The sequence below is a fragment of the Homo sapiens genome, chromosome 10 (genome assembly GCF_000001405.40).
Source record: "Homo sapiens chromosome 10, GRCh38.p14 Primary Assembly".
NCBI lineage: Eukaryota > Metazoa > Chordata > Mammalia > Primates > Hominidae > Homo > Homo sapiens.
Window position 1 is genome coordinate 25,250,111 of NC_000010.11, and position 16,329 is coordinate 25,266,439.

The 16,329-nt window shown below is 37.7% G+C and overlaps 1 protein-coding gene across 2 annotated transcripts in view, besides 1 other annotated feature; it reads left to right on the plus strand.

Moving 5' to 3' along the window:
• GPR158 (G protein-coupled receptor 158) overlaps positions 1-16,329 on the plus strand; it is a 427,229-nt gene that overhangs the window by 75,110 nt on the left and 335,790 nt on the right. The gene's annotated exons all lie outside the window — the stretch shown is intronic.
• Positions 2,997-3,598: an enhancer, noted in NCBI's record as "H3K27ac-H3K4me1 hESC enhancer chr10:25542036-25542637 (GRCh37/hg19 assembly coordinates)". NCBI's record gives its function as "activates a minimal SCP1, AML or CMV promoter by ChIP-STARR-seq in primed H9 embryonic stem cells {active_cell/tissue: H9 hESC(primed)}" and the evidence as "EXISTENCE:reporter gene assay evidence [ECO:0000049][PMID:30033119]".

Consider the following 16,329-nt stretch of genomic DNA (forward strand, 5'->3'; position numbering starts at 1 on the left):
TAGTATTCTCTGATGGTAGTTTGTATTTCTGTGGGATCGGTGGTGATATCCCCTTTATCATTTTTTATTGCATCTATTTGATTCTTCTCTCTTTTTTTCTTTATTAGTCTTGCTAGTGGTCTATCAATTTTGTTGATCCTTTCAAAAAACCAGCTCCTGGATTCATTGATTTTTTGAAGGGTTTTTTGTGTCTCTATTTCCTTCAGTTCTGCTCTGATTTTAGTTATTTCTTGCCTTCTGCTAGCTTTTGAATGTGTTTGCTCTTGCTTTTCTAGTTCTTTTAATTGTGATGTTCGGGTGTCAATTTTGGATCTTTCCTGCTTTCTCTTGTGGGCATTTAGTGCTATAAATTTCCCTCTACACACTGCTTTGAATGTGTCCCAGAGATTCTGGTATGTGGTGTCTTTGTTCTCGTTGGTTTCAAAGAACATCTTTATTTCTGCCTTCATTTCGTTATGTACCCAGTAGTCATTCAGGAGCAGGTTGTTCAATTTCCATGTAGTTGAGCGGCTTTGAGTGAGATTCTTAATCCTGAGTTCTAGTTTGATTGCACTGTGGTCTGAGAGATAGTTTGTTATAATTTCTGTTCTTTTACATTTACTGAGGAGAGCTTTACTTCCAAGTATGTGGTCAGTTTTGGAATAGGTGTGGTGTGGTGCTGAAAAAAATGTATATTCTGTTGATTTGGGGTGGAGAGTTCTGTAGATGTCTATTAGGTCCGCTTGGTGCAGAGCTGAGTTCAGTTCCTGGGTATCCTTGTTGACTTTCTGTCTCGTTGATCTGTCTAATGTTGACAGTGGGGTGTTAAAGTCTCCCATTATTATTGTGTGGGCGTCTAAGTCTCTTTGTAGGTCACTCAGGACTTGCTTTATGAATCTGGGTGCTCCTGTATTGGGTGCATATATATTTAGGATAGTTAGCTCTTCTTGTTGAATTGATCCCTTTACCATTATCTAATGGCCTTCTTTGTCTCTTTTGATCTTTGTTGGTTTAAAGTCTGTTTTATCAGAGACTAGGAATGCAACCCCTGCCTTTTTTTGTTTTCCATTTGCTTGGTAGATGTTCCTCCATCCTTTTATTTTGAGCCTATGTGTGTCTCTGCACATGAGATGGGTCTCCTGAATACAGCACACTGATGGGTCTTGACTCTTTATCCAATTTGCCAGTCTGTGTCTTTTAATTGGAGAATTTAGTCCATTTAAATTTAAAGTTAATATTGTTATGTGTGAATGTGATCCTGTCATTATGATGTTAGCTGGTGATTTTGCTCGTTAGTTGATGCAGTTTCTTCCTAGTCTCGATGGTCTTTACATTTTGGCATGAATTTGCAGCGGCTGGTACTGGTTGTTCCTTTCCATGTTTAGCGCTTCCTTCAGGAGCTCTTTTAGGGCAGGTCTGGTGGTGACAAAATCTCTCAGCATTTGCTTGTCTGTAAAGTATTTTATTTCTCCTTCACTTATGAAGCTTAGCTTGGCTGGATATGAAATTCTGGGTTGAAAATTCTTTTCTTTAAGAATGTTGAATATTGGCCCCCACTCTCTTCTGGCTTGTAGGGTTTCTGCCGAGAGATCTGCTGTTAGTCTGATGGGCTTCCCTTTGAGGGTAACCCGACCTTTCTCTCTGGCTGCCCTTAGCATTTTTTCCTTCATTTCAACTTTGGTGAATCTGACAATTATGTGTCTTGGAGTTGCTCTTCTCGAGGAGTATCTTTGTGGCGTTCTCTGTATTTCCTGAATCTGAACATTGGCCTGCCTTGCTAGATTGGGGAAGTTCTCCTGGATAATATCCTGCAGAGTGTTTTCCAACTTGGTTCCATTCTCCCTGTCACTTTCAGATACACCAATCAGACGTAGATTTGGTCTTTTCACATAGTCCCATATTTCTTGGAGGCTTTGCTCATTTCTTTTTATTCTTTTTTCTCTAAACTTCCCTTCTCGCTTCATTTCATTCATTTCATCTTCCATTGCTGACACCCTTTCTTCCAGTTGATCGCATCAGCTCCTGAGGCTTCTGCATTCTTCACATAGTTCTCGAGCCTTGGTTTTCAGCTCCATCAGCTCCTTTAAGCACTTCTCTGTATTGGTTATTCTAGTTATACATTCTTCTAAATTTTTTTCAAAGTTTTCAACTTCTTTGCCTTTGGTTTGAATGTCCTCCTGTAGCTCAGAGTAATTTGATCGTCTGAAGCCTTCTTCTCTCAGCTCGTCAAAGTCATTCTCCATCCAGCTTTGTTCTGTTGCTGGTGAGGAGCTGCGTTCCTTTGGAGGAGGAGAGGCACTCTGATTTTTAGAGCTTCCAGTTTTTCTGTTCTGTTTTTTCCCCATCTTTGTGGTTTTATCTACTTTTGGTCTTTGATGATGGTGATGTACAGAGGGGTTTTTGGTGTGGATGTCCTTTCTGTTTGTTAGTTTTCCTTCTAACAGACAGGACCCTCAGCTGCAGGTCTGTTGGAATACCCTGCCGTGTGAGGTGTCAGTGTGCCCCTGCTGGGGGGTGCCTCCCAGTTAGGCTGCTCAGGGGTCAGGGGTCAGGGACCCACTTGAAGAGGCAGTCTGCCGGTTCTCAGATCTCCAGCTGCGTGCTGGGAGAACCACTGCTCCCTTCAAAGCTGTCAGACAGGGACATTTAAGTCTGCAGAGGTTACTGCTGTCTTTTTGTTTGTCTGTGCCCTGCCCCCAGAGGTGGAGGCTACAGAGGCAGGCAGGCCTCCTTGAGCTGTGGTGGGCTCCACCCAGTTCGAGCTTCCTGGCTGCTTTGTTTACCTAAGCAAGCCTGGGCAATGGCGGGCGCCCCTCCCCCAGCCTCGCTGCCGCCTTGCAGTTTGATCACAGACTGCTGTGCTAGCAATCAGCGAGATTCCGTGGGCGTAGGACCCTCAGAGCCAGGTGTGGGATATAGTCTCGTGGTGTGCCGTTTCTTAAGCCGGTCTGAAAAGCGCAATATTCGGGTGGGAGTGACCCGATTTTCCAGGTGCGTCCGTCACCCCTTTCTTTGACTCGGAAAGGGAACTCCCTGACCCCTTGCGCTTCCCAGGTGAGGCAATGCCTCGCCCTGCTTCGGCTCGCGCACCGTGCGCGCACCCACTGGCCTGCGCCCACTGTCTGGCACTCCCTAGTGAGATGAACCCGGTACCTCAGATGGAAATGCAGAAATCACCGGTCTTCTGCGTCGGTCACGCTGGGAGCTGTAGACCGGAGCAGTTCCTATTCGGCCATCTTGGCACCTCCCCCCAATTTATTCTTTAGAATAATGGGGGAGGTGTCCCTCTGAGCTAATTACTTGTTGGAGCTAATACTAGGGGATACTATATTTGTGCTTAAAAGAGCTATGAAATGTCAACCTCAGATACATGAAAAGCTTAAATAAGGGGAATCCTAACTGAGAGTCCACCTTTGACTTTGAGATTGGAAGGAATAGTTGATTATTATTGGTAATGTCATTCAGAATCTTCTTTGACACAGGCAGAATATAATTATCTAATTTTTACAAGCTTGCTGTGTAGAAGATATTGGTAAGATGTAAGAACATTTTCCAATGAATGATGCTCTATAAACATATGAGCCATGCTGAAACCGTTATTTATATATATATATATCACACTTTGATAGTTTCTGAGCTGTGTTGCAATTAATGATGTATAAAATGGTTCATGACTTGTTGATGGGATAATTCTTTGAAAGAGAAGCTTTCCTTTTCGAAGAAAATTATAAAATTTGCCTTGGGACAAAACCAGCAAACCAAATATTGTCCACTGCTCTTTGCCAATTTTGTAATTAAAAAACTAATACATCAGAGTAATAAAATTGTAGGAACCATAGAAAAGGTTCTATTCTTGGTATTTCAAAACAACTGTCTCAGTCTAACATAATTAGCATTGTTTAGTTTGCTCTTTCAAATGGAAGGATATGTGTGTATGAATTCAAGAGCTTTGACTATTGTATACAATTCCCTTATGGATCATTAAAGATAACTTCTGTGGCTAACACCTAAGAAATGTTATCGGTTTTTAAGGTTTATTCTACTGCTTGTACTTGGGGCTTTGGCTCTTTGTTTGTGGTTTATAAAATACTGTCCAAGAAAATCAAGGCTGTCTTTACAAATTAATTATTTCTTTTTCTTTTCTTATTTTCATTGAAACATCCATGGAGATACCTTGATAAAAGTGTTTTTTCTTCATGGCAAAACAGGACAAATAGATTTGCAAAACCACATGAACTGATATACTTTAAGGGAGAGTTTATAAAAATACTGTACGCTGTAGCAGATCCTGAAGAACAAAGCTTATCACCTGAAAAAACATAACTGCTTTAGTTTAAATATTAATTTCTCTGAAGAATTCTGGTTTGATTATTTTTAAAAGGAGTAGACAAAAATTTTCTTTAATAATTTCCGTGTAGTCACTGATCTAGAAAATTCTAAAAGGCTCATAAATAAATGAGATGGGGATCACTAAGTTATGAAATAAGTAGTAGTGAAAAAATAAATTCTATTTCTAATAATATAGCATTTATATAACTGCATTTAATTATATACAGTAAAACAAAGTTCAGGAAGATAAATAGGGAATTTTTAAATATCTACATCCAGAATATCTTGTTATTTTTGTTAGAAAACAGTTGAGTATGTGATTGGAGACTGAAACTTCTTTTTGAAAGCATATTAGTGTAATGTATTTCTTGATTACTCTTTATTTCTAAAACTTTTAGCAAATTAACTTTCTCACCTTGGAAGTATCTAATGACTAGACACATTCTAAAACTACTTTTTCAAGAGAGTTAGTTGATTTGGAGGCTCAGCTCAGTTAATTTCAATACTCAGACCTTGAAATCAACATAGAAAGTCTTCGAGTAGTCCTTCTGGGTCTATTACTTCCTGGAAATTCTTGCTGCAGGTTTTGTAATGACATCAAGTATTCCATGGGTCTGGACTCCCTGCTATTCCTGGATGCTATTTTCATCAGTCTCTCCAGTTATGTAAATGATTTATATTGATTCCCTCTCAGTCTTTCTCTGTTTTTCTCTTTGCAAATAGCTCTTTTACTGAGAGCAACACAAACACAATACTGCCCCAAATAGAAAACCTTGACAATTATAGCTGAATTTTGTTATTCTGTTAGGTTCCCTTACAGCTTTCAGTGTAGCTCAGTTCAGCTTTGTCCATCAAATCACTAAGTATTTTGGTGGATGGCAGGGTTAGAAGGGTTGAGTCTTATTTCTTGTGTGCTGTGTTAGTTTTGTATTGCTACATAAACTACAACAAAGTTCATCATTCAAACAACAAACATTTATTATATCACAGTTTTTGTAGGTCAGAAGCCTAGGCTGGATGACCTGACTGTGTCCTCTGCTCAGGGTCTCTCTAGGTCTCTAGGCTTCAGCTGGGGCTGTGGTCTTATCAGGAGCTTGGAGTCCCCTTCCAAGTTCATTCTGGTCCTTGGCAGAATTAACTCCCTTGTGGTTATAGGATGGAGATCCCTGTTTTATTTGTTTGTCTGTTTGTTTTGTTTTGTTTTGTGCTGGCCTCAGCTTCTAGAGGCTGCCCTCAGGAGATGGCCATGTATTTCTCTCACAGCCTGGATGGCTGTCTTCTTCAGAACAACCAGGAGAATTTTTTTCATTTCAAATATCTTTCTCTTTTGAATAACTCACCTGATTAAGTTAGGCCATCCAGGATAATTTTCATTTTGACTCAAAATCAACTGATTTGAGATTACATCCACAACATTCCTTCATCTTTGTCGGGTAATATCACTTAATCATGGCAGTAAAATCCATCATATTATATACCTGTCCATACTCAATGGGAGGGGATGATAAATGGTGTGTGCAAGAGGAAGGAATCTTGGGGACCATCTTAGAATTCTACCTTCTGCATATGCCATATCTTTTCAGAATGAGTTTCTATTTTCAACATTGGTTTAGAATTGAAGTGTTGAGTTACAGGTGTATCAGTGAGTGATGTGACTAAAGACCTTATGGGTCCATAGCTACCATAGCCTGTGACTGCCATCTGCCATCATTATCTGGTGGCACTTGCCATACTATTAATTAGTACTTTCGACTGAAAAAAAAAAAACCTTTATGCTTAGCAGAAGAGTAAACACCAAACAGCGTTTAAAATTACTATTATAATCCAAAAATATAAAAATATTTATAAAAAGAAGCTGTGTGTTTAGAGATAATTTCCAAGAACGTGCAATTCAATATACCTTATCATGCATTCCACATGGTAGAAACTGATCTTTAAAAATAGTGTGCTTGGCTGGGTGCAGTGGCTAACGCCTATAAACTCAACACTTTGGGAGGCTGAGGTAGGAAGATCACGCGAGGCCAGGAGTTCAAGACCAACCTGGGTAACATAGTAAGGCCCTGTCTCTACAATCTACAATTTTTTTTTTAATTAGCTGAGTATGGTGGCACATGTGTATGCACATGTCCTGTGGTCCTAGGAACTCAGGAGGCTGAGGCAGGAGGCTGAGGCGGTAGGAGTGCTTGAGCCCAGGAGGTTGAGACTGCAGTGAGCCATGATGGCTCCACTGCACTTCAGTCTAGGTGACAGAGTGAGACTCTATTCACAACAATAAAAATAAAATAAAATAAAATAAAAACAATAGTATGCTTTAGTTGTCCTCCTTTGTTGTCCTGTTCCTTCCCTAATTAAACATATAGATATGCTCAGCAAATCTGCAGATGAAACAAAGCCGATAACATTAGTAAATATATTACAGTTATAAAATGGAGATCCAAAAAGTATTCTAGCAGAATAAACATAATAGGCTGAAATTAACAGGATACGTTTAGATAGAGATAAACCTAAAAGCCCTGTATTGATGTTTTCCCTAAAAGAAAAACATTGTCTCAGGTACAGATTAGTGGATAGATTTCTTAGCATATATGTCTTAGTTCATTTTCTGCTGCTGTAACAGAATACCACAGACTGAGTAATTTATAAGGAAAACAAGTTTATTTGGCTCATAGTTTTGGAGACTGGGAAGTCCAAGAGCATAGAATTGGCATCTGGTGAGGATCATCCCACAGCAGAAAGGGAGAAGATGGAAGCAAGTACGTGAGACAGAGAAATGGGCTGAACTCACCCTTTTTATCAAGAGCCCACCCTAGAACTTACTCCTGTAATAGGAGCATTAATCCATTCCTGCAGGCTAAGCCCTCATGATATAATCTTTTAAAGGCCCTGTCTTTTAATACTATTACAATAGCAGTTACATTTCCAACACATGAACTTTGGGGGACATACTCAAACCATAGGAATGCCTCTTAATACATTTGGAAAAGACTTAGAAATTCTGATTAGCATTGAGTTTCATGTGAACGAACAGTGGTATGGGCTGCCAGAAAAAGCTGATCGGCTATTTAGAGAAGGAAAGTAATAATTCTGCTCTATTTTCTACACTTGATCTTAGCCAAAAGACTGAGAAGCAATCTGCTCTATTTTCTAATCATCAGAAGAAATAAAGTATATGTGCTGTCTTTTCCTTTTCTAATTTATTCAAAATAATTTCTCAAAGCTTGCAAACATTTTTCTTCCCTATTTATGTATTCTCATTTTGTCCATTCTGCTTACTAAATATAAGTCACTTTGTATTCATATTATATCATTAACTTGTGTCAACATTTATTTTGAATGGCCCTTAAGTTTTGGCTATACTTTGCGAGTTACATGGGTCCGTTCTCATATGAATATATCACTTACGCAAGTAGGCTTGTTTTGCAAGTTTCTTGGCCTTGCAACAGTCTTCTCTCTTCTGTCCATGCGGGTTAGGAAAAATGAAGAGATGAAAAATCCTCCACATTCTTGCTCATCCTTCCTTTCTTATGTGCATCCTGACTCTTCGAGATGGGAATGCTTTTCTTCTACAAAATAGAAGTAAAATGTGGCTTTACCAGTTGATTCCAAGGCTATACACTGAAGAAATAAAAATAATCCCCTAGTCTCTAGGGAACTAATTTTATGAGATATTTTTAACTACCAGATAACTTCACTTTGTGCCCAGAGTCAAAGGGAAACATGTAAGCCATTCAACATGAAAGGCATCAAGCACAATCTTAAACTAAGTGTAAGCAACTGCTTATTTAGGGCACTTAATCACCACTACATAAAGCATGCATGCATACCTTCTCTCATTCACTTATTCATTTGTTTATGCATTTCTCATACACTGAATGTAGAACTTAACTACATTGTAGGCACTATCATAAATAATCTGACATATTCTGCCTTAATCTGACGTAAATATCTTACCCCTGATTGCGGCTTACCTTGTTTTAATTATTTTTGTAGCTTCTTTGAGGAACTAAAGTTCTTAATTTTAACTTATTCAATTTTCACAAACCTTTTCCTTTACAATTGTGCTTTTTTTCTGATGTAACAAACCCTTCCCTTCTGAATCATAGAAATATTTTCTATAATTTCTTCTATGAGTTTTAAAATTTTGGCTTTCACATTTAAATTATGTATCTATTTAGAATTGATTTTTGTTATGGTAGGAGGTAGGAATTCATTGTAATTTTTTTTTCCATACGAACCAAGGGTCAGCAAGCTTTCTGTGAAGAACAAGATAATAAATATTTTAGGCTTTTTAGGTCATATGGTCTCTGTTGCAACTATAGTTAACTATTGAACAATGCAGGGATAAGGGGCACCAACCGCCTGTACAGTGGAAAATTTACATGTAACTTTCGATTCCCAAAAAGTTAACTACTAATAGCCTACTATTGGCTGGAAGCCTTGTCTGTAACATAAACAGTCAATTAACATAGTTTGTATGTTCTATGTATTATATACCGTATGCATATAATAAAGTAAGCTAGAGAAAAGAAAATGTTACTAGGCAAATCATAAGAGAGAAAATACATTTTTTATTCATTAAGTGGGAGTAGATCATCATGAAATTCTTTTTGATGATCCATTACCTTTATGACGATCCACTTCCACCTGTCATCTTCATGTTGAATAGGCTGAGGAGGAGGAGGAAGAGGAGGGGTTGGCCTTGTCTCAAAAGTTGCAGAGGCAGAGGAAAATCCACATATAAGCAGTTCAAACATGTGTTGTTCAAGGGTCAACTGTACTTTACTCTGCCATTGTGGCATAAAAGCAGCCAAGGACAAACTATAAATGAATGGGCATTGCTAGTTCCAACAAGACTTTATTTACAAAATCAGGAATCTCTCTAGATTTAGCCTGTGGACTATAGTTTGCCAGTGCCTTGTGTAGATAATTAATTGTCTCAGACAACTTTTTTGGTCTTTCTTTTCCCACTGATGTTCAGTGCCTGCTCTTTTGTATAATGTTTCCATATATGTGTTTCTCAGTTCTTTGTGTGTGTGTTTTTAAATTGTTTCAGTTGTTGTGGTATCTCACTTTTCTAAGTACTATAGCTTTATTATAAGATTTGCTATCTGGCAGAGAAAAAAAGTTCCTTGTGATTCTTCCTTAGATGTGTCTTGGCCTTTGTTGATCATCCCTCTTTTAAATAAATCTTAAAAATCATATTGTCAAGTTCCATAAAAACTCCACTTCGAATTTGATTGAATTGTGTTATATCCATATAGGGAGAACTAACATTAAAATACTGCATTCCTGTTTCTGAACATATTGTATCTCTGCTTTTATTTGGGTCATCTTTAATATCTTAACTAAAGTTTGTAATATTCTTTAATGCCTTGCACATCACTTTTTAGATTTATTCCTATCTACTTTATTTTTGTGTTGCTATGATAAATAGTATGTTCTTAAAAATTGCTTTTTTTTGACTTTTGCTGATGTGTATAATTTTGATCAAATTTTATATGCTGCTTATGGCTAAACTCTATAAATCTAGTAAACTTTTCTTTGGAGTTTATTCTATTGTCTGTGTATAATGACAGTTTTGTTTTTTCATTTCCACTGCTATTATTTAAAATTTATTTTATTCCACTGACTACAACCTCTAGTACAATGTTGAATACAAGTAATAAGAATAGGAATTTCTATATTTTCCCTGCTTTTTAAAGAACGAGGTAACTGTTTGACTACGGCACATAACATTTGCGATAGATTTTTTTGTTTGTTTGTCAGGCATACTTTATTAGGCCAAGGAATTTGCTTTGTTTTCTATTTTGTACCTGACAATTACAGTGCTTGGTGTGATTCCTTGTCTTTTTCCCCTTATAACTCTCCTTCAAGGAGGCTAATTTTGCATATATTATGAGGCCATGTTTCTTAGAATTTCATCTCCGGAAATCTTTTAGGCCTGGATCAAAGTGAGCATGTTCTTCCAGAGAAAAATTGTGTTTGCTTTTGTTAGCATGGTCACTACCAATTCAGGATCACTTCAATTAAATTTTTGTCCTGAGACTTTTTAGGACACACAGTTAATATGAATTTTTACATATGTTAGGCTTTTTTTTTTTAACTTTTCTTCCAAAGAATCCAGAGTTCAGGGCTAAGACTGACTTGTATTATTCTTTTGGTGGGACAGTTACTATTGTTTTGTTTTGTTTTTATTCCTCCCTCATTTTATGTTCTTAGGATGTCACCCTTTGAAAGCGCTGGGTTTAAGGGAGCATCTCTAATCTCACCTCCTACCCTAAAAGGGGCTTAGGTTTTGTCTTGTTTTCCATATGTAGCTGATTAACACTCAGGCTCTAGGTTAGCAAGAATTGCTGTATATGACAAAGCAACTGCCAGCTCCCATGCTACTTATTTCTCTGGATTTTTGCTTTCTATTCGTCTATGGCCTCTGAGAATGATTTCTGACCTCTTAGTTTCTTGTTAGATGAGGAAGGCATAAGAAAAAAATGTTTTAAAAGTTTTCAATTGGCATTTTTAGTTGTGCTATACCAGAAGGAGATTGTGTGAACATCTATTCTGCTATATTGCTAAAACCAGTATTTCCCATTTGACTTTACCCAAGATCACAGACTCTTGTCCTGAGCTGTCCTACCTGATCATGACTAAACCTTCCTGCACATTAAAACCATCTGGGAAGCTTTTAAAAATCCTGATGCTCGGGCCACAGTCCAGAATTTAATAAATTAGATTATCTGAGGGATCAGTAATTTTTAAAGCTCCCCACAGGATTCCATTTTGCAGCTAAGGTTAAGAACAACTGCTTAAATTCTAGCTGCCCATTTGATTCATGTCTATTCGAGTTCACCTGCCTTCTCACTTTCCTCAGCCAAATAGTTTACTTCTGAGGCCAGATGTTCACATTCCCATAAAACACCAGGTTTATAGTACTCCTGACCTACTTCTTCAAACCAATATACTTTCTGTGAAACTAGGTCTACTATACCTATGGTCAACTAATAGCAAAATGTTCAGCTTGTTTTTATTTTTTTTACATCATTCTCTTTTTTTATGTCTTTTGCACTATGCTGATACAATTTTGTTTTCCTCCACTGAGAAATTTTTAGTGCAAAGTCTCTTAATTTGCTAATTAATTCTGATAGACTAGTTTCATAGTCTCAGCAAATCAGCGTGTGATACACTTGGATTATGAATGGCTTAGCACAGAAAATGATGTAATTTCAATGGAATAAATTAGAGCCAATTAACACGGCGGAGTCAGTTGTCTTTTTGAGTAATGCATATTTGCTCAGAGAAGCACTCTGTTTTATTTGTAAAATGATCTACGCTTTTAACCATTATGACTGCCATGGCCCTTTTCCCTTTGGAGCTAATAGAAAGGGAGAAGATAAATGACAAGAGCAGCTAGGCCAGGTGTAGCAAATAATTTTGGTAGAGTTTTGCCATCATACTTTGTTTGAGGTCACAGTATGTTAATTGACCATAACATGTTACTAAAACGCTGTTTTATGACCCTCTTTAATGTAGTGTTCAGAGCATCTGAAAATACATGACATAATTATAAATTTATAATTATTTATCCTGGGGAAGTAATAATGACTTATCTCTTGCAAGTAAAACAAGTTGTTACATGTTCTGAAGCCTAGGGTTTGGGACCAAGTAGAATAAGCAGAGATCTAGCTGCAATATTAGCAAATGATCTGCTTAACACATTGATTTTAGTGTCTACAAGATAAAAGGTATTTCCCACAGTGAACAGATGGCTTAACCAGGAATGATAGACTTCTCTTGACTTAGTGGGGAGAGTGGAGGTCTGGAATGCTTTAGAGAAAACTCACATTCTTTGGGTATACACTTGGGCAAGTTGGTCTTTAGAAGTCTGCTATTGCTTTTCATAATAATGGATAATTATCATTATTTTCCTCAGGGGAACATTGTGTGGAATAACAAATTAATGATTGCAATACACTTTGGAAGACATTCTGTAACTTCTTAGTATCTAGGAAAGAATGAATATGGATAAAGGAAACCCAGGAGAAAGGTTTTATTTCCAAATTTTGTGATATATTATTTTTCTTTAAAAATTATTTTAATAAATACCCACAAATTTCTAGGCATTTTTTGTTTTACAATTTTGCAAAATTAATAAACATTTTTAAGAGCAATTCCAGGTTCAAACCAAAATGAGTGGAAAGTATGGAGTTCCTATATACCCTCTATCCCTCACATGTGGAACCTCCCCCACTGTCTACATTCTGCACCACAGTGGTTCACTTGCTACAATCAAACCTATGTTGATACATCCTTATCATCTGGAGTTCATAGCTTACATATAGGTTCACACTTGGCATTGTACATTCTACTATAGATGTTGGCAAAAGTACAGTGATATGTATCTACCATTATAGTATCATACAGAAAAGTTTCAATGTCCTTAAAAGTCCTCTGTGTATTCTTTGCCTATTTTGAAATTGGGTTGTTTGCTTTCCTGTTGTTGAATGTTAACAGTTCTTTGCACACTTTGCATGGCAGTCCTTTAGTAGGTATGTATTGCAAATATTTTTTCCCAGTGTGTGGCTTCTCTTTTTATTTTCTTGATGTTGTCTTTTGGAGAGCAAAAGTTTTTAATTTTAATGAAGACCAGCTTATCAACTATTTCTTCCATGGATTGTGTCTTTGATATTGTATCTAAAAAGTACTTGCCATACCCAAGGTTGCTTATGTTATCCTCAAGGAGTTTTATAATTTGTTTTACATTGAGATCTCTGATCCACTTTCAGTTAATTTTTATGAAAAGTGTGAAGTCTGTGCCTAAATTATTTTTGCATGAGGATGTCCAGTTGTTCCCAGCACCGTTTTTTGAAAAGCCTGCTTTTCTTTGTTGTATTGCTTTCGCTTCTTTCTCAAAGTTCAGTTGACTGTATTTAGGTGGGCTGTCTATTCCATGACATTTATATATGTCTGTTCTTTTCCTAATACCACACTGCCTTGATTACTATAGCTTTATAGTAAGTCTTGAAGTCAAGTAATATCAGTCCTCCAACTTTGTTCTCCTTCTGATCTAATTTTTTGACATTTTATTTTGTTAATATGTTTAGTTTCTTTTCAAAATGCTATTATATTTTATTTCGTGCTTAAAGATGCTGCTTCTCACTATTTAAAAAAAATCTGCTGTGTGGTCATATGTATGCCTAGAATTGGCTGTAGGGGCCATTATATGCTACAATAAATTTTAAGGCCGGGTGCTGTGGCTCACACCTGTAATCCCAGCACTTTGGGAGGCTGAAGCAGGTGGATCACCTGAGGTCAAGAGTTCGAGACCAGCCTGGCCAACATGGTGAAACCCCGTCTCTACTAAAAATATAGAAACCAGTTGGGTGTGGTGATGGGTGCCTGTAATCCCATCTACTCAGGAGGCTGAGGCAGGAGAATTGCTTGAACCCAGGAGATAGAGATTGCAGTGAGCTGATACAGTGCCACTGCACTCCAGCCTCAGCGACAGAGTGAGACTGTCTTTAAAAAAATGAAATAAATTTCACCTTTTGGTTAATGCCATCTTTTGGTATTATCCTTTGGAGACTTTTTTTATTGGATCTTTAGGGGCTTGTCTTCAAGAAAATCATTCCTAACTGATGAATATCAGGCATTTTTGAGTATGGCTCTCATAACCCAAACCAGCATTGTGGTAACTGGTTTCCAAAGATTCCTTCCTTTTAATGAGTCACACCTTCTGCTTTTTATGCCAATATCCAGTCCTTTGTACGTTGAATCTGCACTGGCTCTTTGTAACCAATAGAATAAGACCAGATTGATGCTGCACATCTCCCAAGGCAAGGTGGTAAGCAGGTCTGCAGTTTCCATTATGATTTCTTGGAATGCTTGCTCTTGGGGAAGCCAGTTGCCATATAAGAAGTACAGTTAACCTGACATTTCCAAGCTGCAGGGATGCTCAAGGCATTTGGAGAAGTCAGGTGGAGAGAGGGAGACTTGATCAGTCCACAGCTATTCCAGCTATCCCAGCTGAAATGCAAAATATTTGAGTGAAGAAACATTTTGGGTGTCTGGATCAGTCAAGCCATAATATTACTCCCAACCCAAATGTCATCTAAATGCAACAGCATAAAAGAACCCAAGCAAAAGCTGCCCAGCTAAACCTAATCTATACACAGAACTGTGAGAGATAATAAGAAATTGTCATTCAAAGCCACTAACCTTTGAGGTGGTTTGTTACACAGCAGGGAGAACCAGAATAAAGGCCAAAGAAGACTTGGACACTGATTGCTAAGCTATTACCATAGTAATTCTTTACTTTGATTACTTTTGTCGATAGTATCTTGCAGATCCTTCATATGCCAATATGATGTTATTGAAACTTGTCACAGTGGTACCTAAAAGAGTACCTTTTCCAGTTTCCAGTGCTATATGTGGGGTTCATGCTTTCTTGAAAGTAGAATTGATACTCTGCGAACTATTTTTAATATTTCTAGAAGCCTAACTAAAATGGTTCATTTACCCAAGGTAAGACTGTACAGTTAACACATTTCCTTGCTTTGGGCTATGTATATATCACCCTCTCATTGTATCTCATTAAAATGAATTATACTGAAATATGGAGATTTTGATTTTTCTTTTTGTGGACAGAATTTTTTTAAATATGGGATCCTAGTGAGAAGAACAAAATGGCTTTCTTAATGTGTTAGACTTTATTTATGTTTCCCAATATTTAGTACTCTTTCCCTTCTAAGTCCACAGAGGTCTACACATTTTAACTCCTTTACTTTTGGGTTGGGCTCTGTGGTTGGTTCTGAACAACAGACAACGGGCTGTGAACAGAAATGCTAGGTGCCATTTCTGAACTGAAGCATTTATTACTAGCATAAAACATCACATTCTCTCTCTTCTCTTGCTGCAATAAGCAAGAAAGTCATATGTTCCAGATTGTGCAGTTTCAAGATGGAGGAACATCTGGCATCTTGAGTCCCTAAGTGGCCATGTACAGCAGAGTTCCCTATAGACTTGAGTTGGGCATGTAATAGAAAGGAGACTTTTTTTCTTGTGTACTCCACTGGGATTTCATGATGAATTTTAATAATGCAGCCTATGCCAACCTACCTTAATATGGTAAGATACTAGTTAAGGTACTTCTACTCTTAAAGTAAGAGCAAGAATGGGAGACATGGCATTCTTCATTGATCTATTAGCACCTAGCTCTGATTAGTGAAGGTAGGAAGCACAAAGCAGGTTATTGAAAGAATGAAAGACCTTTCAGTTGGCTACAAGGCAGAGGGAACAGGTACGAAAACTGGGATTCTGCCAAGAGGGTGATCCTAGATGGAATATTTTGCCAGAAGAACCAGGCATGTCAGGCTCTGAAAACAAAACTTTCTTCCTTGGTTTTGTTCAGAACTGCTCCTGATCTTTTGTTTTTTTCTTGAACAATCCAGTCTCCATATGGATGCTTGAGTGTTATTTTCAAAATGAAACTCTGATGTTACCACCCGCCTGCTTAAAACATTCCAATGGCTTTACATTGCCGACTGGGTTCAGATCCACATTCTTGGATTGCTGTGACTGCTGTGTTCCTCTTCAGTTTGTTTGCTTCAGTCTTACTGGATTTCTGGGGGCAGGTTCCTTCTTTATCTGAAAACTTTTCTTCCTTTACCATCCTTCCAACCTCCACTCTTCTCCTAGTTAATCCCTGTAGCCTTCAGATCTCAGCTCAGTCTTCATGTTCAGGAATCTTGCTCTGACCTTAAGTTTCTTTGTTAGAGGTTTTCATAGAACTGGGTTTCTTTCTTTCAGAGAAGTTATCTCTGTCTGAAATTTACATGTTTAAGTGCAATTGTTTGATTGTTTGTCATTCACTTCATGAGGGTAGTCCTTTGTGTTTCCTCATCACTTTATGCCTAGTGTTCAGGACATAACCAGTACATAGAAGGTGGAATGGATGCCTTTGTGGGCCCTTTACTGTCAAAGATCAGAGAAGTCCAGATGGACCTGAAGAGCTGGAGTGAAGAAGTA